Source organism: Homo sapiens, chromosome 20 (genome assembly GCF_000001405.40).
Source record: "Homo sapiens chromosome 20, GRCh38.p14 Primary Assembly".
Classification (NCBI taxonomy): domain Eukaryota; kingdom Metazoa; phylum Chordata; class Mammalia; order Primates; family Hominidae; genus Homo; species Homo sapiens.
Window position 1 is genome coordinate 53,033,929 of NC_000020.11, and position 25,430 is coordinate 53,059,358.

Below are 25,430 nucleotides of genomic sequence, written 5' to 3' on the forward strand. Positions count from 1 at the left end.
GGATTGCAGGCATGAGCCACCGTGCCCTGCCAAAAGCCACTTTTTAAATAGTAAGAGGATTTTGGCAGCCTTATAGACTCAGATATCTGGAGAGCGTAGCACAGGACATAGGACATATTATATTCTCGATAAATACTTCTCGAATGAATCAATGAGTAAATGACTAGCTTGAGCTTACTATATTAATAATACACTGTTTACTAGTAAATCAACACGTGGGAAACAATAGACAGAGACTTGTGGGAGCATGGACTTTGAAGTCAGAACTGGGTACAAATCAGGCTTGGAAACACTAGCTAGATGCCCCCTTGGACAGGTTACTTAATTTCTCTGAGGCTCAGTTTTCTCATTTACAAGTTATTTGTAATAACAGCTGCATTAAAGGGTTGTTGGCTTATATATATTATCAATAGCTTTTATTATAGTGCTGCAAAATAAGGTGTCTGCCCCATAGAGGTATTGAAAATCTACTCACTGGGCATCTACTTTGTGCCAGGCACTGGGTACTGGGGATAAAGAGTGAGCAAGACAGACAAGATCCCTGGCTTCAGGGAGATGACGAACTGGTGGGCAGGCTGGACAATAAATAACCATGATGACTTTTGGTGAAATAGAATTTCCAAGAAGATAAAATAGAATAATGTGTTTGTGAGTCGGAAGTTATTTTACAGGAGGTAATCAAGAAAAGCTCCTTTGAGGAAGGAACATGAAAACAGTTACCAATGAGAAGAAGGACCCAAGCATGCCAGGATTTGAGGGCGAGGGCTTCCAGGTTGAGGGAACAGCAAGGGCAAAGGCCCTAAGGCAGAAATGTTTGCTCCAGGGTTCTTTTCACACCACAAACAATGAAGAGAATGGCCCATGGTAAAGTCCAAGATCCTCAAGAGCCCACTCCTGCAGGATCTTATAGGTCAGGATAAAATATTTGGATTTTATTCTGAGTGTGATGGAAACGATTGGCAGGGTTTTCACAGCTGGGTGGCAGAGTCTCACTTCCTTTTCAAGGTGGATTACTCCAGCAGCTGTGAAGATTATAGAGATCAGGATAGCAGGAAGGCAAGTAAGGAGACTCCTGTCTAGAAAGAGATAATTATCACTGGAACAAAGAGGATGGCAGTGGTGAGGGAGGCATGAACGACTTAGGACGTGGTTTGCAGGCAGCACCACAGGATGTAGTAGAGGTGAAGCAGAGAGAAGGCACCTGGCCTCTGTCAGCCCACACGACTACAAGCCTGGAAGCCTCAAGTTGCATTTCTTATTCTCTGGTTGCTTCTCCACTCTCCTCTGTGATTTGCTGCTGGGTGCCTTGATCTCCATAGCAATGAGTCCTCTTTTCTCCTGTGAGACTGATCTGGGGATCAGGAACCTCACCTCTGACTCCCAGTAGAGGTGAAATCAGCAGTGGTTCAAGGGAAAGAGGCAATGCAGCAGAGACTGATTTCTGGGATGAGGTTTTTTGTTTTTTTGTTTTTTAGTTTTTTAATTCAATATTTACATGGGTCCACTTAGTGTCATAAAAGGTTTTAAAGGAACTTGCTATAAAAACTCAAGAGGAAATTAAATGCAAACCAGTACACACCAGATGCAAGATAGGAATCAAGAAATATAGTGAATATTTCCTGTGGTATATTAATTAAAATATTATTTCCCCGTAGGAATATAATAGGATGCCATGATCTATTGATTTATTTATTCAACTAGAATTTGCCATATATGTCGCTCCAAGCTGGATATGAGGAAAGGGAGGTAGATAACAGTCCCTACTCTCAGGGAGCTTTCAGTTTAATGGGGAAGACAAGTATCAAAGAATCTCTATAAAAGAAAGCAGAGTTCATTGGTTTCATAGCAGAGAGTAGCTATTTGTGTAGCAGCGGAGTGTAGGTGACAGACACATTAGGATCACTTTTATACTACAAAGATTAGAAGTGCACATCAAACCATTAGCATCAGATAGATATTCCTGACTGAAGACCTATTCATAAGTGTATATTTTTTATACATATTTGTTAGAATATCAGTGATTAAGAAAATATACACATATTATTCACTTAAATATAAAATATGTTTATTGATCTTTAGGAAAGACATTTCACAAATAATCCTTCAATGCCATATTACCAAGTAAAATTTTCCTCTAACTCAATGACTAATTCCGCTTCTCGACCACAGAAAAAGGTTGAATATGCTATTGTGTGCAGAGCAACAAATGAAGTAAAAATTTATGATGTACCCACTTAATTTGACCCACATGTACTCAGGATTTCACGTGAGGCTTGGGAGTTATTTATTCCTTGCTGAAATGATTCTATTCTCTTACCTTGCTTTTTCTTTTCTCAATATGATAAACATTAATTAAGTATCTGCTTTGTGCAAGACACTGTGATCCGAATAAGCAAGTCATGTTCTGTGATGTTAAATGTTATAAAAATAACTTTTATTATTCATATTATAACAGGAAATTTACATTTTGAATGTACCTTTAATAACGTGTATGTATATGCACGTATACATACACACATATATACACATATGTATTAGAAAGAAATAGAAACACATATACATACACACATATATAAACACATATATTAGAAATAAATACACATATATATTAGAAAGAATTAGAAATAAAAGAAGTTTTAAAAAGTAAAAATGTATTCTACATTTTATTATGTATATCATATATAATATAGAGAGGTTGGGTTTATTGCATTACACATTATATATTATATATGATATTTATAATCTGTACATAATATGTGTATGTATTACTATGTATATGTATGTATATTATATATGTATTTATAATATATATTATATAATTATATATATTACATAAAGTATATATTATATATTTTAAAAGCATGTAACAATACATATTCATATATAACAAACATTATTTCACATAAACTTTATATTATATATGTGTAGATAGACATCTCTTTAATGGAATCATATTGCTTATATTTGCTGTAATTTTGCTTTTTTACTTAGTTTCATGAATATCAGTTTAGTCATTAAATATTCCTTTACATTTTAATAGCTGCTGAATATTTCACTTTTTAAGTTGATAGTATTGTATTTAATTATGGTATTAGTGCAGTGTATTAGTATTATAATCCTCCTAATGTTGCATTTATTTATTTTTTCCCTGATCATTTCTGTTATGAGGAACATCCTGTCAGTTAAATAAGATTCTTTCCCTATGATGAATTTTCAGGCGCCGCCTCCGAGGTCGGGGCTTCCTGATAATTGCCAGTGTCACCCTTGCCAGGTCACTCAGGCACGGGTCAGTGAGCGCTCAGGAAGCAGAGGCAGAAAGGGCTCCACGTGTGCTATCACTAGTCAGATTATTCTGCACACAATAAAACATTCTTTTGTACAAAAGTGAAATCCCTAAGTCAAACTGTGGCTTATAAGCAGAAATCCTGGTTAGTATTTCAAAGTTCTCTTAGCGTTTTCTCCTGCGACTTAAAAGACTTAAAAACGTGAAAAGACATGGACCTAAGACTCCAAACAAAAATACATTTCTTTGAAACTAAATAGCTCTTAAGTAAGAAAAAATTCTATAGATCTTCAAATCATCCCCTAAGCAAAATATTCTCTAATTAAGTATTTCTGTATTTCCATCTATGTTCTTCCCAGGCTTGGGGCTGTTGATCAGACCTATTTTTACGGGTAAGTTTCTAGGGGTCATAGAAGATACAGATTTTGACCTGCTTAATGTCAAGAGGTTGCACGGTTGATTTGTCCAGTTGTGAATTCTATGAATGAAGCTTTTTGCTTAAATAAAACGATATTCCCCTCTGGCTGCTGTGAGCACCGGGAGACTTGTTTCGGCAGTGCCTGGGTGCTGGGGCAGGGCCGGTGGCCCTGGATCATCCGCTACCAACAGGACTTGCCTGTGTGCATCTGGTCCACCCTCTCTCCACACCCAACTTCATGAGATGCACAGGGGCCTGTGTGCAGAGCAGGGCGAGTCTGCCAGGACAGAATGCCTGGGTCTGCTTGGTTGGGTCTCCACATGCGCTCAGGTAAATCTCAGTCTGTCGCTCATGCTCGTATTCACTGTGCTGACAAGCTCCAAGCTTGGACAGCGTGTTTAGTGTACCGCAGGATCACCTTCGGGGAGGGAACGACAGCCTGCCCGGGGCTAAAAGAAACTGCCCAACAAGAGAATCGCTTGAACCCGGGAGGCGGAGGTCGCAGTGAGCTGAGATCGCACCACTGCACTCCAGCCTGGGCGACAAGAGCGGGATTCCGTCTCAAAAAAAAAAAAAAAAAAAAAAAAAAAAAAAAAAAAAAAAAGAAACTGCCCAGAATTTGAATGTTGTACTTGAAACCTGCTTGATCCTTAAAGTTCATTTCTAGTCATCTCCATCAATAAGCCTTTGGGTTTGAGAAGCAGAAGCTTACTATCCCAGCTAACTTGGGCCTTACAGGAAGATTGGGTTTCTCCCCTGGGGAAGAGTGGAGGGTTGCTGTTTACGGCCTGTCTACTCCTACCAAGCACTGTGCTAGGCATGATGAATGCCTTTCCTGCTGAATCCTCTTCTCACTAAGAGTATTGATCATCTCCATTTCACAGGAGAAATGGATCTGAAAGTGATGACATAATGGCTGCCTTTTCTTAGAAAATCCCAAACCCTGGCCCCTCCTTTAGGTGCCTCCCCAAGCTCTCATTCTGTCTACTTCTTTAACTTTGTCCCATGTCCAGCCTTTCCTTCCTCTGGCTACACCAACCGCTTTTTAACACATGTTGCTTAACACATATTTAATGAGGGTCTACCTGTACCAGGTGTGAATAAAAGAGCATCCAGAGAGATAAAGGTACTGACTGTTGTTATTGAGAGATACTCATGCAGACATATGTATTTGTTAGAATAGGTATTCTAACAAAGTTCTTCTGGGTCCAAGGGCCTTTTCACTTCTTGTTTTTTTTTTGTTTGTTTGTTTTGTTTTGTTTGTTTGTTTGTTTGTTTGTTTTTGAGATGGAGTTTCACTCTTGTTGCCCAGGCTGGAGTGCAATGGTGCGATCTCGGCTCACAGCAACCTCTGCCTCCCGGGTTCAAGCCATTCTCCTGACTCAGCCTCCCAAGTAGCTGGGATTACAGTCATGCCCGGCTAATTTTGTATTTTTAGTAGAGACAGGGTTTCTCCGTGTTGGTCAGGCTGGTCTCGAACTTCCAACCTCAGGTGATCCACCCACTTCCACCTCCCTACACTTTTCATTCCTGCCATCTGGAACCCTTCTCCTTCTTGGTCTACACATGGGGGGATGTGCTTTCTCACCATCTCAGTGACTTCATCCACTTTGGAACCTACCCCGATCATCTGATTAAAAATACTCCCTGTTCCCAGCCATCCTTGATCACCCCAGAGAACTTTCCACACTCTTGTTGTTCTTTAATTTGTCTACATGAATATTTCTCAACAACAAGTGTCAGTACCTTTTTCTCTCTCGATGCTGTTGTATTCACACCTGGTACAGGTAGATCTTTATTAAATATGTGTTAACCAAATAAATTGAACAAATATTTATAGGCCTCTTTCTGTGCACTTGACACTGCTCTAGGCACTGGGGATACAGCAGTGAACAAAACAAATAAAAATCTCTACTCTAGGAGGGAAAGACAGATACTAAGCAAAAGAGTGAATAGTTGGTCAACATGGTGAAACTCCGTCTCCACTAAAAACACAAAAAATTAGCTGGGTGTGGTGGCAGGCACCTGTAATTCCAGCTACTGGGGAGGCTAAGGCATGAGAATTGCTTGAACCTGGGAGGAGGAGGTTGCAGTGAGCAGAGATTGTGCCACTGCACTCTAGCCTGGGTGACAGAGCTAGACTCCATCTCAAACACACACACACACACACACACACACACACACACCAGTGAAGAGGGCCGGCTGTGGTGGCTCACACCTGTAATCTCAGCACTTTGGGAGGCCAAAGTGGGCGGATCACAAGGCCAGGAGATTGAGATCATCCTGGCTAACACAGTGAAACCCTGTCTCTACTAAAAATACAAAAATTAGCCAGGCGTGGAGGTGCAGGCCTGTAGCCCCAGCCACTCGGGAGGTTGAGGCAGGAGAATCGCTTGAACCCAGGAGGCGGAGGCTGCAGTGAGCCAAGATCGAGCCACTGCACTCCAGCCTGGAGACAGAGCAAGACTCCGTCTAAAAAAACAAAAACAGTGAATAGTTAGTTAGGACCTCAGGGAGAGATGCACAGTGGTGGTGGGGTAAAGCAATCAGCCCAGAGACGAGGCCTGTCTGACAAGGTGAGACCTGAATGAAGTAAAGGAGCAAGTCATGGTGATGTCTAGGAGAAACATGTTCCAGGAAGAAGCACAAAAGTCCTGGGGCAGAGTCATGTTGGTCAATTTGGAGCCGCATGGCACCTGTGTGGCTGGTGTGGAGGGAGGAGGGCTAAATCAGAGGGCAGGTGTGGGGTAAGTGGTGCAAAGGCTTGTGGGCTGTGCTAAATATCTCAGCCTTTGGTGTCAAATGCAATGGGAGCCATGGAAGGGTTTTGAGCCAAGGGGTGGCATGGATAAATGAATGAGGTTACACAACTTGAGAGCAGAGAAGCTGGGATACAAACTGGGCTCTCTGAGTGCAGTTTGCTCCCACCCCGTCCCCCCACCCATCATTGCTGCATCTGTCCCTGGCCACGTGTTCTTCCCTGTGCATTTTATCATCAAAGTGAGGCCTTAGCCTTTCACGGAAGCCTGGTTGTGGGGGCTTAGCCCTGACCTGGTGGCAGGGTCCATTTTGTTTTGTTTTTCCTGTTTGTTTGGGGACTTAGTGTCCACCCTTGGACCCAACGACCCTTACCCAGGTGCGGTGTCTTCCAGCTGATCCCACAGTGGGGCCCAGGTTGCATCAGCTCAGCCTTCCTTAGGCGCAGCATTTGCTCCCTCCCCGAGTTTGACACCCCACAGCCTGGCACGGTGCCAAGTATGAGTAAATTGGGCTCAGGGTTCCTGTTGTTCCTATTCACACAGCAGCTGCTTTCTTTACCGTGCCATGAACCTGATCTCCTGGCATTGTCAGTCAGCCCTCTCTTCTCAGGTGCCAAGGGGAAACGAAACTGGTTAGTCTCTGCAGGAAGCTGAGCCGTCTCCTAAGTGCCCACCCGGCTCCTTGTGCACTAATTACCAGACAGTGGACTGAACCTTTTGCATATTTTATTAGTGAGGACTCTAAGTTTCGAGTGATTGGAAACCCAGTGGGTTTAAATCAAGAAGATTAATTTATGGCCCATGTCTCCAAAAGGCCGGGGAGGCCTTGGCGTTGCCAAGTTGGACATAAGGGCTCAAATGACTCATCAGAATTAGGTCTTATTCTTTCCATCTCTGCTTTCTTCTGGAAACTTCTATTCTCAGGACCTAGCAAGATGCCAAAATCAGATTACATCCTAATATCTCAATAAGCCCAGATTTACTTTTTAACATTTCTAGTAGACATCTGGGAATTGAGTCTCCATGCCCAGTCCTAAGCCTGTTGCTTTGCCCAGGGAATGCAGTTCTCTGATCCGCCAGTTCTGGGTCACCCATTCAGCCCTGGAGCCAGCCTAGGAGTCAGCCCATGTGACCCTCCAGGACCAACGACATAAAGGGGACAGTTTCTCAAGGAAGACTAGGGTCAAATTACCAGATACTGGATAGGCTAATATAACAGATGCCAAGTCACGCTCACTCTTTTAGTTAATCCTCGGAGAACCCTGTGGCATAGTAATTATCCCACACTGCAGATGAAGAAGGTGAGGCCCAGAGAAGTTAAGCTGGCCAAAAGTATGCAGCTGGTAAGTGGCAGAGCCAGCATTTGAATACAGATTCGCCTTTCTGCAAAATCCATGCCACGAGTCTCCTGAAACTTGAAAGAAAAGTGTTAAAACAGGATCGAGATGATCCTTGATACCCACTGCCTAAAGCAGCCCTACTGGCATGAGCTCATTCCTTCTTCTAACTTCTTTGAAGCATTTCAGGTGAATTGGAAGTCTGTTTTCCAGGAAATCTGATTATGGTGGCAAGTTCCTCCCAGCAAGAACAGAGAGGAGCATTCTGAGATTTTCCTGGAAGGAAATAAGCCTCTCCTACATTGCAGCATATTACCCAAATGTGGGAAAAAAAAAACATATGCCCATGACATTCTCTTATATAAATGTGTGGGGGCATGTTTCAAAAGCATATATATTAATATCTTCTGTGTGTATGTATATAAATATAGGTATTTATCCCTCTGCTGGATTCATAAGCATCGAGTGATTCAAACATTAATTACAATCTCCTTGGTGAGGGAAAATATTTTTCCTTCTATCATGTTCATTTTAGGATCATCTGAAGTTCATCTTTTTAGAGGGTACTGAATCATCTGGCAACACAATGTTCTTTAATTGTTAGATTGTATACACATTTTGGCGTTACTTTTTCTGAACCTCCTACTCCCTTGATTTTTATTATTAACTGTGAGAAATCACTTCAGTGTGCTAGGCATATACATTCGTATATATACACACACTGCTATTATTATATATAATCTCAATAAATTCTGACAATGCTTTGAAAGAGGCAGTACTATTATTGTTATTATGGATGAGGAAAGTGAGTTTAAACAATTTGCCTAATGAAACATGAAGATCATAGGGAATGATGGAATTGGGACTCAAATTTCGAGTTCTTTCACTTCAGAAAGTGAAAGTCAGTTACTCAGCCTCAGAACAACTGACATTTATCCATGCTATTAACTACTACACTATTATGGAAGTAGAGAAGAAAAAAAAAAAAAAAACACTGGAATTCCAAGCTTCCAAGGCTACCAAGGAGGCTAAAACATCTATTGGGGATTTAGTGGAAAATTTGCGGAAATCTATCATTGTTATAAGTGCATATGTTTCGATCCAGCAATTCCACTAGAAATGCTGGCACAAATGTGCAAGGATGTAAATATAAAAAATATTCAATGCAGTATTGTTTATAGTAGGGAAAGCTGGAAATACTTAAATGTCCATCACTAAAAAGTCAGTTAAATAAATTAGAGTGCATGATTCCAGTGGAGTGCAGTGTCACTGTTTCTTAAAGTAGGCAGAACCTCTAAATACAGGCATGTGGACAGGTAAATAAGAAATATTTTAATTTTTTTAGGTTGGCAAAGAAAGCATAATTCCAGTTTTAGGGGAAAAAAGTTAGCATCTATGTCTGCATGGAGACGGGATAAAGGTGAATGTAAATTTGATTGTGCATAAAAAAATTGCTGGAAAAATATAAATGAAACTGGTAACAGTGGTTACATCAGGGAAGTTTTTATTCTGGGGAAGGGATGTTCAGTTATACTTTATATGCCTTATTTATACTGTTCTCAACAGGAGGTGGTTTTGCCTCTCAGGGGACATTACCAAATGTCCCCGTTTTTGTTGTCACAACTCAGGGAGTGGGGTTTGCTACTGGCATCTATTAGGTAGAGACCAGGAATACTGATAAATATTATCAATTACACAGAACAGCCCTCACAATGTAGGATCATCCTGCCCAAAATGCCAATAGCACCAAGATTGAGAAACTCTGCTTGTAACCCTAAGTGTCTGAGTTTATTATAATAAGCATTCATTAATCTTGCACTTAAAAAAAAAATCTCTGAAACATAGTCTCCATTCTGATACTTGAGTGGAATTATTGCTGCTGCTGCCTTCATAGATCAAATCAAAGTCACAACTTTAATACTTTGGCCATGTGGACATAATATACTTTTTCTTCCATTACCAGAACAATTTCTTCATTCGAATATAGGATTTGTATATATTTATCTTTCAGTCTCAAAGATAGGCAATCTTATAATATAGGTCCCATCTCACAGATTAAAAAAAAAAACTGATACCTGGGGAAGCTCATTGTTTTCATGGACAGCCAATGCCAGCTAGAACCTTGGTAAACAAATTTAATAGTTTCTGGAAATATTAAATTGCTTAATCTCAAACATCTGTACTTCGCTGGAGACTCAAAGAAAAAGCACTGAGCTATATTTTCAGTTCTTTAATTGGGATAAGAGGTAAGTTTCCTAAGTAATCCTTCATTCTCTATGAGAGGGTATGTACTCCATCATTTTGTCCTCCGAACAGAAATACTTCCTGCTCACCGGGCATTCACATTTCAGTTTGGAGATACAGGGTGAGTATCCCTTGTTTGAAATGCTTAGGAACAGAAGTATTTCTGATTTTGGATTGTTTCAGATTTTGGAATACGTGCAAAGAGCATCCCTAATTCACATATTTGACATTTGTGATGCTCCAACGAGCCTTTCCTCTGAACGTCATATCAGCTCTCAACGTTTCAGATTTTGGAGTCTTGGATTTCAGGTTTTCAGATTAGAGATGCACAACCTGTGACACATATCTTCTGTCATATTCCGCTCTGTAGCGTAGCCATGGTGTGTTGGGTTTTGACACATCAACATTCTGAGTGCAAGATGATACTGAGTGTGACTGGTGTGGAGTGAGCTGCGAGTGAAGTTTCTAATGAGGAGGAAAAGTGTGCTGTAAAATCTGTCATGGTCCTTGTGACACCAGTAGCTCTCACTTAGCAAGACACTAGCTACGGCCATCAGCGTGTCAGTGGCTCCAGGACAGAAGGAAGTTGCTGAGCCAAGGACCAAGACTTGAAGTGGCCTGTGTTAAGCACCCCCTTCACCAACTCTGAAGTGTAAGTCACAGAGTTCTTGGACCCCAGCCCCAGTTCCCCAACCTTTAAGGATGCAGACAGTGCTGCTTGTATGTTTTGGGGTGCTTTCTTTCTTTGTTTGTTTTTAGACATGGGGTCTCACTGTGTTGGCCAGGCTGGAGTACAGTGATGCAATCACAGCTCGCTGCAGCCCTGAACTCCTGGGTTCACGGGATCCTCCTACCTCAGCCTCCTGAGTAGCTGGGACTACAGGTGCACACCACCATGCCCGGCTAATTTTTTGAAAATTTTTGTAGAAACGGGGTCTCACTTTTTTGCCCAGGCTGATCTTGAACTCCTGGCCTCGAGTGATCCTCCCAGAGTGCTGGGATTACAGGTGCAAGCCACTGCACCCAGCCCTTTATTTTTAAAAAATTAATTCTCATATTTGTCAGGATGAGATAAGTTATGTGGTGACAAAGAAAAATCCCCAAATCTCAATAGCTTAAAACAACAAAGATGCATTTACCACTCACACTCCATGCCCACAGTGGGTCAACTGAGGGCTTCTTCTGGGACTCCAGATGACTAGAGCAGCCACCATCTGACACCAGCATGGCCTGCCCCTGTGAGAAGGGAAGAGTACAGCGGGTCATACGCTGACTCTCACAGTGACGTCCTCACTTCTGGTCACATTTCTCTCAACCTTCCGTGATTTCAAAAGGGTGGGGAAGTGCAGCCAGAAAATACACATGAGAATCCAAAAGGAGAAGAGACCCAGGATATTTGCAAATGGTTCTAGTGATTTCCACAGTCCACTGGTAGTTGGTGTAAACATCATGTGCACATCTGAATTCCTGGATCCTTTTGAGAAATCACAGGACCTTGGGACAATATGCATGGTGTAGGAAAGGGGGCACTCACGAATAGTGACTCCGTTTAGACGAGACATTTCCCCCTCAGTTCCCAGGCTCTACCTATCCTGATTCATTCACCTAAGGAATCAGCTTTGTCCCTGTAGGAATTTGGATTGGCAACTTTTGAATTAAAGTCTAATCCAGTGGTAACAGTTCACCCATGGAGTCAGATAACCTGGCTTCGAATCTGGGAACCACCCTTATGGCTGAGTGGATTTCACTCTCTGCACCTCAGCTTCTCTACCTATGGGTAGTAATCCCGGAGGGATGTGGTGAGGCATAAGAGAAAATCCATATAAAGCACTTAAATGAGTGCCTAGGACAGAGACAACACAACTGTTCCATCATCGTCATCTTTCCAAAGTGCCACTCTGCATGTACCTTTAACTTACACACACAAAAATGGGGTCATACAGTAAGTGCTGTTGATGGACAGATATTGACCAGCTCTGCTCCTTTCTCTGTATCTGTTTCCTGTCTTATAAATCAAAAGGGTCGGCTCAGAAGCTTTCTGAGGTCCTTTCCAATTCTGACATTCTGTGACTCCAAGATCCAAGGAGGGCCCCCAGATTCCTTCTTGAGCTTTCAAAGCATTCCCGATGTGTGCTTTAGAGTGGGTCTGGACAGTGTATCTGTCAAGGGGGCTGCAGGCAAGAGGGGAGACACGAAGCCAAACTATGAGACAAGCATGGGAACAGCCTTAACCGCAAGCTCTAGCCTTGAACCCATCCAAAGAACACTGATGTGAGCCAACTGTGCATATCTGTTGATTAATCTTCCCAGGAAATGATGTTCTAGAACCCTCCACAGCCACGTGACCTCCGCCGCCAACATCAGCCATCATCTGGACTGGTCTTTTCATCCAGGGCACTCGATGGTGGCTAGCAAAAGGACCCCCAGCCCATGCTGAATGCCAGGATTTGTATTTTTATCTTGCCCTGCAGGCTGCCTCGCCTTGAGCAATGCTGTGTGATGACAGAGATATTATCACCCTAAGCTAAAATATTCACCAATAACGAGACAATGAAAACAGTTGCTAGAAGTCTGCGGTGAATGCAGAGGGAGCAAACTCTGTTAATTATTCAGGAAATCCTCTTCATAAATTCATTTAGATTTCTGCAAATGAGTTAGTATTTGATTAAAAAAAACAAAACAAAACAAAACCCTGGGAACTCAGCCCAAGCAGTAGAGTAGGTATAGGCTTGAACAAGTTCAGGAATCAGACAGCCTTGGACGTTCAGCCCCATGACCTTAAACAAGTCTGTGCCCCCTCAAAACTTCTGTTACCTGTCTACAAAGTGGGGATGCTAATACTAACCTGTGGTGTTGGGAAGGTGGAACTAACAGGATGCATTCTGTGTACTTCACAAAAGGTCTGGCTCATGAGCCCTTAATGCATGTTATGAACAGGGTAACTTCACTGTGGCTTTCTTATTAACCATCCCTGTGTATCGCTCTAAGGAGAGGGCAGAGTCTCAAGGCTATTCATGTTTGAATGAAGGTGCTGGAAAGAGACAGAGGCGTAAGGGATCCTGCATGCCTCATATGAAGACACATGTGAACACAAGGAAACATGGCTCCAGTGTTGCAGCTGCTTCTGATTTTTCAAGATAAATTTTAAAAGCATAATATTTATTTGAAACCTCCTGATTTTTAAATGTTAACATTAAACAATGCCGGTTTGGCTTCTGTAAAACAGACTCTAACTCTTCATATCCTGAAAGATAACATGACTTTATTAAGGTATAATAGAAGCTTGTTTCTGTCTTATATAAAGGTCTGATATAAAAGTCTCGGTAAGTGGTTGAGAGCTAGCAGGACACTTCTTGGTGTTGGGATCCCAAGTACCTTCTCTTTGGTTGCTCTGCCACCGTAACACAAGGCTTCCTTCTGATGGTCCAAGATGGCTGCCCTGGATTCTACCATTATATGCACATTCCAGCCAGCAAGAAAGGAAAAGCAGTGGAAGGCAGGCCCCTCTTTTTAAAGATATAACCTGGAAATCACAAATATTACCTCCACTGACAGCTCAGTGTCTAGTGCATTGCCACAAAGCTGTATCTATCTGACAGAGGCTGGGAAATGTAGTCTCTATTCTGAGTGGTCAAATACCAAGAAACAGGAGATCTATGAGTGAAAGAAAAAAGAAACAAAGCTACAACAAGTAATTCAGACTTAAGAAAAACACTATGACAACCAAGCAAAATACAGTCACGGGCCATTTTGGAGCAAAAAAAAACCATTCTTTACTGAGGATGTGATAAGAGAGTGTCCTTATAATAAAATTCCTGTGTGTTAAAACTACTGCTGCCTTCAACATCAAAATAGGTTCCATGCATGGAGTGCATACCCCATGCATGGATGTGGTGTTAGGTGCTAAACATACATAGATTTTCGCTGACTCTGAAAACAGCCCTGCAAGGTAGACACCGTCGCACTTTTAATTGGCAGTGGAAACGGAGGTCAGAAGGGGAGACGGGATGTGGCCAAGTTAGTAAACAGGTTCGTAAGTGGCTGAGTGGCGATCCCATCTCAGGCCTGTCTGCCCCCAGCGCCTTTTGTGGTACTCTGTGCTTGAATACAGCTGGCGCTGACCTTCCTCTCCGCTCAACATTCTGCATCATTCTCCATCTTGTGCAAAGGAGGAACTGAGAGCCACAGTGTCACAACATGGACTCCAGAGCCCCAGGGTAGAGCCGATCAAAGACAGCCCAGGACCCATTCTGACTTCTGGCCTTTCCCGTTGTTCTTTGATCTTTGTTTTCATAAGTTACAAATTCCTCCACCTACTTACATTTTTAAAAGAAGGGGAGGAGAGAGAGAGAGAGAGAGCAAAATAATAACTTCTTAGCCGGAACTGCTTTTCTTCAAAATCACGAATAATTGTTTTCCTGCTCTGTCTGGGAAGGCATTCCCCTCTCATCTTTTGCCCAGGACTTGGCAATCCACTTTCCATCTCCCCTTCGCTTGTCTTTCTTTAGCATCCACGTTCCGTGCAATCCATCATCAGAGCCATTACCCTCCTCCTGATCAAGGGTGGAATGGAAAAGCTCCCTCTCCCTTCAACACCTACCACCAGCTCTTTGATTTGCCGGGCGTGGGCAGCAGGAAAGTTTCCGGCGGATGACCTCAGACCCTCTCCATAGAGAGCCCCACCAGCAGCTCATCACCATCAGTCTGCAAAGTGAGAACTCAAGTCAGGCTCTTTGGAAACAGTCAGCAAATGGCTTCTAGTTCACTCAGTGCAGAAAAGCTTTTCTTTTTTCCCCTTTTGTATGGGATTTTGTGAGTGGGGGGTTCTAATAGCTGCTCACTACACACCTCCAGCCACCCACTGGGCTTGCCAGTGTTCTGTGCAACACGCCCTGCGTCACAGGTTTCAATAACAACAAACTCTGCACATTTTTAAAATAAAAATAAAATAGGTCAGAGATTCACCCAGCTGGCCAGTAAACCAGGGCAGGATTTCTCTCATTCATTCTTTATTCTACCGAAACTGTCTGAAACTCAGTCTTCATGCCTATGAAATGGACAGAATAATCATATCTATTTCATGAGGTTGTTGGGAGTATTCATTGACATCGTGTTTGTAAAATGCCCAGAAGCCCTTACAAAGGGCGTCAGGCCCTTTGTAAGCAGGAAAGGAAAGCTGGCTTGGATGAACATCGGCTATTGGTACTGAGCTAACAAAGCAGCTATGAGGACCAAAGAGGGGCCCCTAATCCCTTCTCTAGCCTCTTTTCTCACCATTCCATGACTCCAATTTTGTGTTCTGACAATGTCAGATTCCTTCTAGTTTCCCTCATGCAACATGTTCTGACTGGGCCCCCAGCTCCTATTCACGGTGCTCTTCCAGTACGAATTCCTGCCCCCACCCCTCCCGTCTTCATGGTTAACATATATTCAACCTAAAACTCAACTGAGAGGTCACCTCCTCCAGGAACCATTCATGATTGCCTCTTTACTTTTCCCAAGCTGAGGCACATCCCATCCCCAGTGACGTAGGGAGTCTTAGTTTATCTTTAATTTGATTTTTCAGACATTTTATGTTTTACTGTCTTCACCATTAGGTAGTGCCCTCCATAAAGGAAGCGCTTGTGTCATATATGTCTTTGAATTCTTAGGATTCAGCTTGGGATTGTACACTGAAACTGCTGAAACACCTCTCAGAGTAGACAAGGAAGGAAAGGAGAGACGAAGGGAGGTGGGGTGGGGAAGGAGGGAGAAAGAAATGGTGAATGAAGCACACAGCACAGTGCCCTAAGGGGAAAAAAAGCAGCATTTGAATCAATAGTAGGTACTTTAGGCTGGGCAGTGGCTCACGCCTGTAATCTCAGCACTTTGGGAAGCCAAGGCAGGTGGATCTCTTGAGGTCAGGAGCTCGAGACTAGCCTGGCCAACACGGTGAAACCCTGTCTCTACTAAAAATACAAAAATTGGCCTGGCTTGGTGGTGCATGCCTGTAATCCCAGCTACTCCGGAGGCTGAGGCAAGAGAATTGCTTGAACCTGGAGGCGGACGTTGCAGTGAGCTGAGATTGTGCCACTGCACTCTAGCCTGGGCAACAAAGTGAGACTCAATCTCAAAAAAAAAAATGTATATGTGTGTATATATATATATATATATATACACATATATATATGTGTATATATATATACACATATATATGTACATATATACACATATATATGTATATATATATATGTATGTATATATATGAATGTTTATATATAGTGGCTACTTAAAAAGTGTTTTGTGATTGGTATATTTAGTTGTTCTTACTACCGCTGCCGATTTACTCTCACTGTTGCTAACCAAAGAGCAGAGTTAAGTCTGCAAAGAAAGATACCTTCCCTTTTCAATGATGAGGTTAGTGTCTTCACAAATAAAGCATCTGATACCTTAGTCTGATACATTAGATACAAATTATGACTAATAATTTGCCCCATTTTCCAAGTTTTCTCTTGATTGTGTTGATTGACTCAATAACGACTCAGCTCCTGATTCAGAGATGAATCAAAGAATGTCTTGCCCGCACGGGGCTGTGAGTCTAGATGGAGAGACATTCGTAGGGAGCTGTGTAATGTCAGCAGAGACGTGTCATAGGAAGACTGATGAAGCAGACGATGGAGAAAGTTGAGTTGAGTTGGTTGCTATTTAAAAGGGGTTGTCTAGGAAGGGTCTTTGATAAAGCAACTGAATAAAGAGCTGAAGGTAGTAAGTGTTAAGATCAAAGGATCTTTATAGGAGATCCAACCACCTCCCTCTAAATGGTAGTTCTTGGTGTGCTGTGTGTAAACCTCAGAGTATTTGCAGAAAGGAGATAACTATTTGGGAGCTGCGTGTATCAACATGTTCCAGAATACATAGGATGTTGGTAGAAGCCACCTGAAGATAAAACAGTCTGTTGATTCTGGCAAAATAGATAAACAATATTTACTATCTTTACTCTAGAACTCTTTAGAGCTTTCAATAGATTAATACACATTGCAGATCTCCAAGTGGGAACTAGAGCATTTAGTATTTCCTAACAGAACTCCTTATTCAAGAAGCATATTGTAGCTGGGCATGGTGGCTGACTCCTGTAATCCCAACACTTTGGGAGGCTGAGGTGAGCAGATTACCTGAGGTCAGGAGTTTGAAACTAGCCTGGCCAACATGGTGAAACTCCGTCTCCACTAAAAATACAAAAATTAGCAGGGTGTGGTGGCTGGCGCCTGTAATCCCAGCTACTTGGGAGGCTGAGGCAGAAGACCTGCTTGAACCCAGGAAGTGGAGGTTGCAGTGAGCTGAGATTTTGCCACTGCACTCCAGCCTGGGTGACGGGAGCAAGACTGTGTCTCAAAAAAAAGATATTGTACCACTTGTATTCAGAGGAATGAATGTATTTTGGTAAAAATGACTTTTGAGTGGGTACCAAATCTAAAGAAATATTCTTATCATATTACTCTGTGGCGCACGCACACACACACACACACACACACACACACACACACACAATTCAGGTGGATTTGCACTGGAGCCCTGTAAGTATTCAAGCTCTTTTGCTGTAGAGAACTAAAGAAAACATCAAGATATCAAGTAGTTTTATTGATTTATTCCATAATATTTTCTGGAACATATTGGCTTGTCTGAGTTACTTACAGGCCTTGCCACCTGGCAAAAATCATTTCAAATTATTGGGAAAAGAGCCACAGAAGTGGAAAATATCAAGAATATGGGCTCCGACTGCACAAGGCTGGACTCACACACAAGCCCTGCCAAGTTCTCACACGAGTCTCCGTTTATGTTGCTTCTAAAATGGGGTCCAGTTGCAGGACAAATTTTTGATTTTAATCAAAAGAAAGGTGCGAACCCATAGAACGGACCTTTGCAGGAGAAAGAAACAATTGTGGATGGATGTGAAAACCGAGGCAGCTGTTGCTTCACATAGATAATATGCCCATTACCTTTTGGAACAAAATTAAACATTTTTAAGTGTATTAAGATACACATAACATTGCAATTTATCATCTGGAACATTGTTAAGTATACAGTTTAGAAGTGTCATGTATATTTGCATGGTTGTACCACCAGTCTCCAGAACTTTTTCATCTTGCAAAACTAAAGCTCTATACCCATCAAATGACAACTCCCCATTCTCTCCTACTCCCCAGATCCTGGCAACCACTATTTTATTTCCTGTTTCTAAGAACTTGACTATTTTAGGTACCTCATGTACGTAGAATCACGCCACAGTTGTCTTTTTGTGACTGGCTTATTTCACTTAGCACAGGGGTCCTCAACCCCTGAGCTGCGGGTCGCTACTAGTCCTTTGCCCATTAGGAGCCAGGCTCCACAGCAGGAAGTGAGTGGAGGACCAGCAAGTGCGGCATTAGATTCTCATAGAAGTACGAACCCTATTGTGAACTGTGCGTGTGAGGGATCTAGGTTATGTGCTCCTTATGAGGATGGAATGCCTGATGATCTAAGGTGGAACAGTTTCATCCCAAACCTCCTTCCTCCCCTGAGCCACCAGTCCTTGGAAAAATTGTCTTCCACGAAACCAGTCCCTGGGGCCTAAAAGGGTTAGGGTACTGCTGACTTAGCATAACATCTTCAAGGTTCTGTGATAACATGTATCAGAATTTTTTTCTTCTTTAAGGCTGAGTATTATTCCTGTGTATGCATATACTACATTTCGTTTAGTCATTCATCTGTTGATGGACACATGGGTTACTTCCACCTCTTGGCTATTACGAATAATGCTACTACAAATACAGTATACAAGCATATATGGCTGTACAAATATCTCTTAGAGACCTTGCTTTGATTGATTTTGGATACATACCCAAAAGTGGGATTATGCCTGTTAGATTGCATTTCTTAAGACAGCTCTATTGTGATACAATTCATATACCATAAAATTCACTTCTTAAAGTATAAAATTCAACAGTGTTTCGCATGTTCACGTAGCTGTGCAACCGTCGTCGCGGTATCTAATTTAGAACATCTTCATCACCCCAAAAAGAAACTTCATATCCTTTAGCATTCACACCTCCTTCCTCCCTTCCCTGAGCCCTAGGCAGCCTCCGGTACTGGTAGAGAGACTTTCTGTCTCTATAGATTGACCTGTTTGGGGCCTTTCATATACACGGAGTTCTACGCTATGTGATCATTTGTGTCTGGCTTCTTCCACTTAGCATAATACTTTCAAGATTCGTTCATGTTGTATCAGCACTTCATTCAATTTTATTACCAAATAATATTTCATGAAATGGATATGCCACACTTTATTTATTCATTCATTTGTTCATTTGTTGATGGACATTTGGGTTGTTTCTGCTATACCCATTACTTTTGTTCCTTGCCAATGACTGCATATCTGTAGCCTCATAACATTCAGAATTTCCCTTTTCTCTACCAAATGTGCTTAGGTTTCAGGGACAAACAAGGTCCTCTGTGAAAAGGTAGCCAAGAGAACGGTCTAGGTAGCAGACAATGGATTCATTCCCCCACCATCTTATTCCCTCCAAATAAAAAAGGAAGAAAAAGAAAACTGCTTCCATTTGTCTTAAAAGCTATATATGTATGTATATGTGTGTGTATATATATATATATATATTTTTCTCGATATCTAATGGAAGAGACTTGTGCTCTTTAGGGAAATCAATAGGAGGGATAACAACCGATTATACTATGAGAAAGAAAATTTTAAAAGACTCTTTGGAAATAGCGCATACATAAAACATTTTTGAACTATCTGCAAATGTAGAAATTATGCCTCAATGCAAGGGATCCATGCCAAAGTAAAAGTCTGCTCAGGCTTTTATGAATTTCAGTGTTAGTGGCAAGTTTATCACTCCAGTATCTGTGAAAGCCACTGCATTTGTCCCATGTTGTCCATTGCCATGAGAGGAAGGGGCTACCCTGTCTAATTAGTGACTGCGCCCTAACTGAACTCATAGTGTTTTCTGTATCACAGTTCTTGACCACGTATCCAATAATAGCATTTTGATTTTATTGAGTGCCAGATTAAAAGATCCTTAGGGGTTTGGACAACATATTTCCTTGCTCTGGAATTGAAAAGACATCGAAGTCAGATCCGGAGCGAATCGAGGAACGATGTACCACAAGGTGGCCCACACAAAAGCTATGTGGGCAATTATCTCATGATTTGAGCAGCCTGACAAACTTCTCCCTTCTCACTCATATTTCACACAGATGCAGCCACGGTCCAACTTTGTTACAAAGAAAGAGAAACTTGTCATTTGTTTGATCATCAGCATGGTGTAAGAATTTGCCTGTCACTTGTTTAGGATAATGGCTGAATTTTTCAGTTTTCAATTGATGCTTGGCAGCTTCGATGTGTTAGATTGCTCTCAAACAACTGAAAGAAATCCACACATCCTATCCATTGTCAAGCTCATTTAGCAGATTATTCTAAGACTAAAGTAAGGGAAGGTAGCTTGTGCTATGAATCTTTTAAGAAAATATTACACAGTGTGAACAAAAGCAAATCCGCAGAACTTTAAAATGTCAGAGCCCAAAGAGAACTTAGAAATCCTTCCATTGAAACATCTGAAACCTCACATGCCCACAGAGTCCAGGCAAGTAGCAAGCCAACAGCAAGAGATGTAGATTGAGTCTTTGCCGCCCTAGGAGGGGTTCTAGTGTGCCAGACTGTATGTTTTCATAAAATTTGCAAAAGTAAGATGTTTAACTTTAATTCATTAATAGGGCTGTCACTTTTTGACATCCTCCTTTTTTTCTCCCTTATGTTAGGGTGTTAGATGGCATTGGAGTCACCCCAGGAATTTTGTATTCATGGGCTATGGGCACTATACAGCTTTTAAAACTTCAGGATCCACAAAACCAGCAGGTCAGATAGACACTATGGCAAAGTGGAATGCTCATGCTCATTTAAAGGAGGTGTTTTTGCTTAGTTCCTGACAATTACTGTCAGGTGAGAATTGAAGGGCTCAGTGTGGTCAGTTCTCTCAAGGGAAGCCAGAAATCCAGATTTATATGTCAAATCTTCTGATTTCAAAATGTTGATAACTAACCGAACAACACTAATCTGAAGGCTGAACTTGATCTGTGGGCTGTCAGTTTTTATCCTCAGGCTAAATTCAACCCTTGCTATTGATGACAAAAAAAGCAAATGAACAGGTCTAAAAATAATTAACCCTCTATCCACACCATTGTCTTCCACAGGTTTTATATTGAAATCATCAACCTGGTTTTCTTATAATCATTCGTTGAGCATTTCTTGAGTGTTAAGTGTGCATTTTAAGTACATTTGGGTTTCCCTCAAGCTTAGCTCTTGATTAAATGAGTCCAAAGTAGTCCACATCCAGGTTCAGAGTTAGGAGACAGGACTGGATGTGAAATTATCTCACTGTGCCAGGATTTTGAAAACAATTCACTAAAATTTGCAATAATTCAGACAAGGCTTCAGATACTTATTAAGAGAAAAGTTTCAAAAAGTGGTGTGGGATTTTATATTTATGGACATGTTATTGTAATCCTGCTGTTAGTTATAATTTTTTTGCATGAACTTTGAGTGATTTATAGTACCCAGAGGTAATGAATCCATTCCCATTTTTACTCCTCCTCTCGTTGGAACATTTGCATCAGTTTTCTCCACTTCTCAAACATTTTTTTCAGTTGATATTTCCATGGCTGGACCCTTCTTATCACTGAGGTCTCAACTGACATGTTACCTCTTTAAAAAAATCTTTCCAGAAGATCTTAGCTAAATTCACCAACTCCCAGCTCTCTATCCCAGGGGCAGATAAACTATGGCTCACAGTTTGAATCCAGCCTGCAGTCTGGCTTTGTAAATAAAGTTTTATTGGCACTCAGCTACATTTATTTGTTTACCTCCTGTCCATGGCTGCTTTTGTGCTACCCCAGGAGACTTGAGCAGTTGCAACAGAGACAGTGTGACCTGTGAGTCCCAAACTATTTACTATCTGGCCCTTGATGGAAAATGTTTGCCAACCTAAGACTTTTCCATTGCTATTTTATTTTCTTCACAGTAATGCTTATCTGAGATTACTTATTTTTTACTTGTTTGCTTGTTTGTTTCTGAATTCTACTCTTAGAATCTGAGCTCCTCAAGAGTTATTTTATCTATACCTAGAACACAGTAAGTACACAATATATTTTGGTTGCGTGAACTTAATAAATTCCATGCTTCAGCCTTTTTTCTTATAGCAGAGAGGGCTCCTAAAGTCCTTCTGTGCAGGTGGGTCCTAAGGATCCTGCTGCTTTTCAGTACTACAGGGAATATCAGGCCAAGTTTTTTATTGTTTCTGGTTGTGCAAACTGGACCAACTATATACACTGAAACAGGTGATGCCTAAGTACCAGACCCTTGAACTGGATGAGGAAAAGCCAAGATGGGAAACCACTGGAAAACATCGCAGTCTATTGATTCTGTGTATCATTTCGCCCAATACCGTTGTCGTTATCAAGGGCTAACTCTTATTTGTCAAGTAAAGAAAGACTACAGGTTCAACTGACTTCTAAGTTAGCAAACATTTTGGTTCCTCCCTATCTAGTTAAATAAATGAGTTTCTTTTTCTAAAGCCTCAACTCACCTAAGGACAGGGTTCTTTGTTTTTCTCTGCTTAATTGCGTCATATTCCTCCATACCAACTACACAAACCCCAGCACACACTCAGCTGCAGATTACCATCCTGTGTTCTTGTCACCTCATGCATTTTACCTGCTGGAAATAAATGCTCACACTCTGCCCAATCCCATCTTTCCCTGCACCTGGACATGCTTCAGAACTCCTTTTGTCTGTTCCTCTCTCTCATGTGCCTGAACTCTTCTGTGACTTAGAATCTCTAGCACATGATTCAGAACCTTAGGATCTGTCCAGTGGCTTCTTGTCTGTTAGTAATTTTTGTTCTCTCAATGATATGGTGTGGCTGTGTCCCCACCCAAATCTCATCCTGAATTGTAGCTCCCATAATTCCCGCGTGTCGTGGGAGGGACCTGGTGGGAGGTCATTGAATCATTGGGGCAGGTTTTTCCTGTACTGTTCTCATGATAGTGAATAAATCTCATGAGATCTGATGGTTTCATAAAGGGCAGTTCCCCTGCACCGCTCTCCTGTAAGATGTGCCTTTGCTCCTCCTTCACCTTCCACCATGATTGTGGGGCCTCCCCAGCCATGTGGAACTGTGAGTCTGTTAAACCTCTTTTTCTTTGTAAATTACCCAGTCTTGGATATTTCTTCATAGCAGTATGAAAATGGACTAATACACCTAGTACCTTGTAAGCATGCACCATTTTTACTCATATTTATATCTTCCTCTTTTACTCAATTTGTGTTTGACCGAACTTGAATCTGCAGTACCAGGCCCCTGGCATTGTGCTGGGAGTTATGCCAGGCACTAACAAGACCACTGAAATTTCCCAGACGCCCTACAACCTTCCTTTGGGAGTTCCCATACCATATAGTAATAAGCCTGTTAAAATGCACCCACTTGCCAGGTTATGTATGTTTTTTTTTCTTTTAAGAAATCATAATAATTCATTTGCTTTTTATGTTGTTATTATTTATTATAATCATAACTTCTTTTTATGTCTCAACCAATGCATATTTGGTCATATCCCCAAGGATTTGAAGTCCCTTGAATTTTTTAGAGGCCCAGGAGAAGCTGGTATACCTAATATACCATGCCCCAAATACCTACTGTATTCATACTGCTTTAGCAGCCCTGGACACTCACAGAAACAGTGATGAACACGCATGGTTCTTGTCCTCAGGGAGTCCAGAGTCCAGGGAGTGAGGTGCAGGTAAGCACGTGGTAATAGAAAACTGTGAGAAAGTCCATTGTGAAGGATGGGCAGAAGCTAAATAAGATTTGAGGACATGGACAGAAATGGGGTCAGGAAAGGGCATGGAGGTCCCCTCCCTGGAGGAAGTAATGTCTTAGATCGGTGGTCCCCAACCTTTTGGGCTCCGGGAACCAGTTTCATGGAGGACGATTTTTCTAGGACTGGAGGTAGGGGGATGATTTCAGGATGAAACTGTTCCACCTCAGATCAAGCATAAGTTAGAGTCTCATGAGGATCGCACAACGTAGATCCCTCACACGTGCAGTTCACAATAGGGTTTAGGCCCTTGAGAGAATCCAATGTCACTGCAGATCTGACAGGAGGCTCAGCTCGGGCCATAAGACTCTCTGGCCCACCGCTCACCACCTGCTGTGTGGCCTGGTTCCTAACAGGCCACAGTCTCGTACTGGTATGGGTCTGTAGCCCCAGAGTTGGGGACCTCTGTCTTTGATGGCCTCAAACAATGCAAAGTGGAAGGATCCAACTTGAATTCTGCCTGTCAAAACACAGCCAATTTCCCCCAAGTTAGCCTTGATAAATCTACCTAGTCAACAAACTAATTCACCTGAAGTCACAATCATAACAGGCTACAGTTTGTGAGGCCTGATGCAAAATGAAAAGGCAGGGCCCCTTGCAGAATTTCAAGACAGCAACAGCAGGGCATTAAACCATGTATGGGCCCTTCTGAGCATGGGGCCCTGTCTGACAGCACGGGCCACACACCCATGAAGCTGACCCCGTTAGTTGTTCTAAAAGTGGGGCCAGTGTCATTCAAAAGACAGTAGGAGAAAAAAAGCACCATGGACTAAAGCCCCAAGTACATAGCAGATGCTCAACCAAGGTTTGTGGAACAAGGCTGAGTTTCTTTAGTTTATTTTGCTTTTCTTGGAAATAGGCCTGACCAGGTGGCAAATGTCTGTAAGAAAGCAGTTACTTTGTCATTTTCCCTTTCTAGAAGCTCAGGACAGATGCAGAGATCCAGGTCTGGCCTGGGGAAACATGACCAGTCTGGCTGCCTTTTGTCTTGGAGATGACTTGGGTATTAATACATATATTTCGTTTGTTTGAAATATATACATGCATTTAAATCTGTATACAAAACCTTTTGGTGGACATTTTCTCCACATCCTATCCTGACAGAAGATGACGATAAACTCATGCTAGTGATTTTTATTAAGTCTCATTGAGTGTATTTTCAGAAGCTGCCACACAAGGAAATGTACTAAACATTTTTTCCCTGTCTGTAAATGTGAGTAGTCTTGAATTGCCAAGCCAGGTAAAATGAGTCCATGGATAACTCTTAAATGTATTAAACTCCTAAAATATTAGATCCTTCTGCAACAGATGAGGTTTGGTAGTGCAGCTCATTAGCATTTGAACAAATTAGTGAGACTTTTAAGGCATGTTGTTGGATTGAGCTAAGTAGATGAACACAGTGAATTCCAGACCCTAATGACTCCATTTATCAAGGGAGCAGGTTTTAACATAATGCATAAACCTTTCTCACATGGCCATTTTACTAT

The 25,430-nt window shown here is 41.8% G+C and overlaps 1 protein-coding gene across 9 annotated transcripts in view, besides 1 other annotated feature; it reads left to right on the plus strand.

The window, feature by feature from the left end:
- The window catches only part of TSHZ2 (teashirt zinc finger homeobox 2), a 522,973-nt gene that overhangs the window by 61,571 nt on the left and 435,972 nt on the right, over window positions 1-25,430 (plus strand). The gene's annotated exons all lie outside the window — the stretch shown is intronic.
- Window positions 13,834-15,033: an enhancer, noted in NCBI's record as "MED14-independent group 3 enhancer chr20:51664301-51665500 (GRCh37/hg19 assembly coordinates)". NCBI's record gives its function as "activates an origin of replication core promoter dependent on BRD2, BRD4, P300/CBP and CDK7 cofactors, and independent of MED14, by STARR-seq in HCT116 cells {active_cell/tissue: HCT116}" and the evidence as "EXISTENCE:reporter gene assay evidence [ECO:0000049][PMID:35650434]".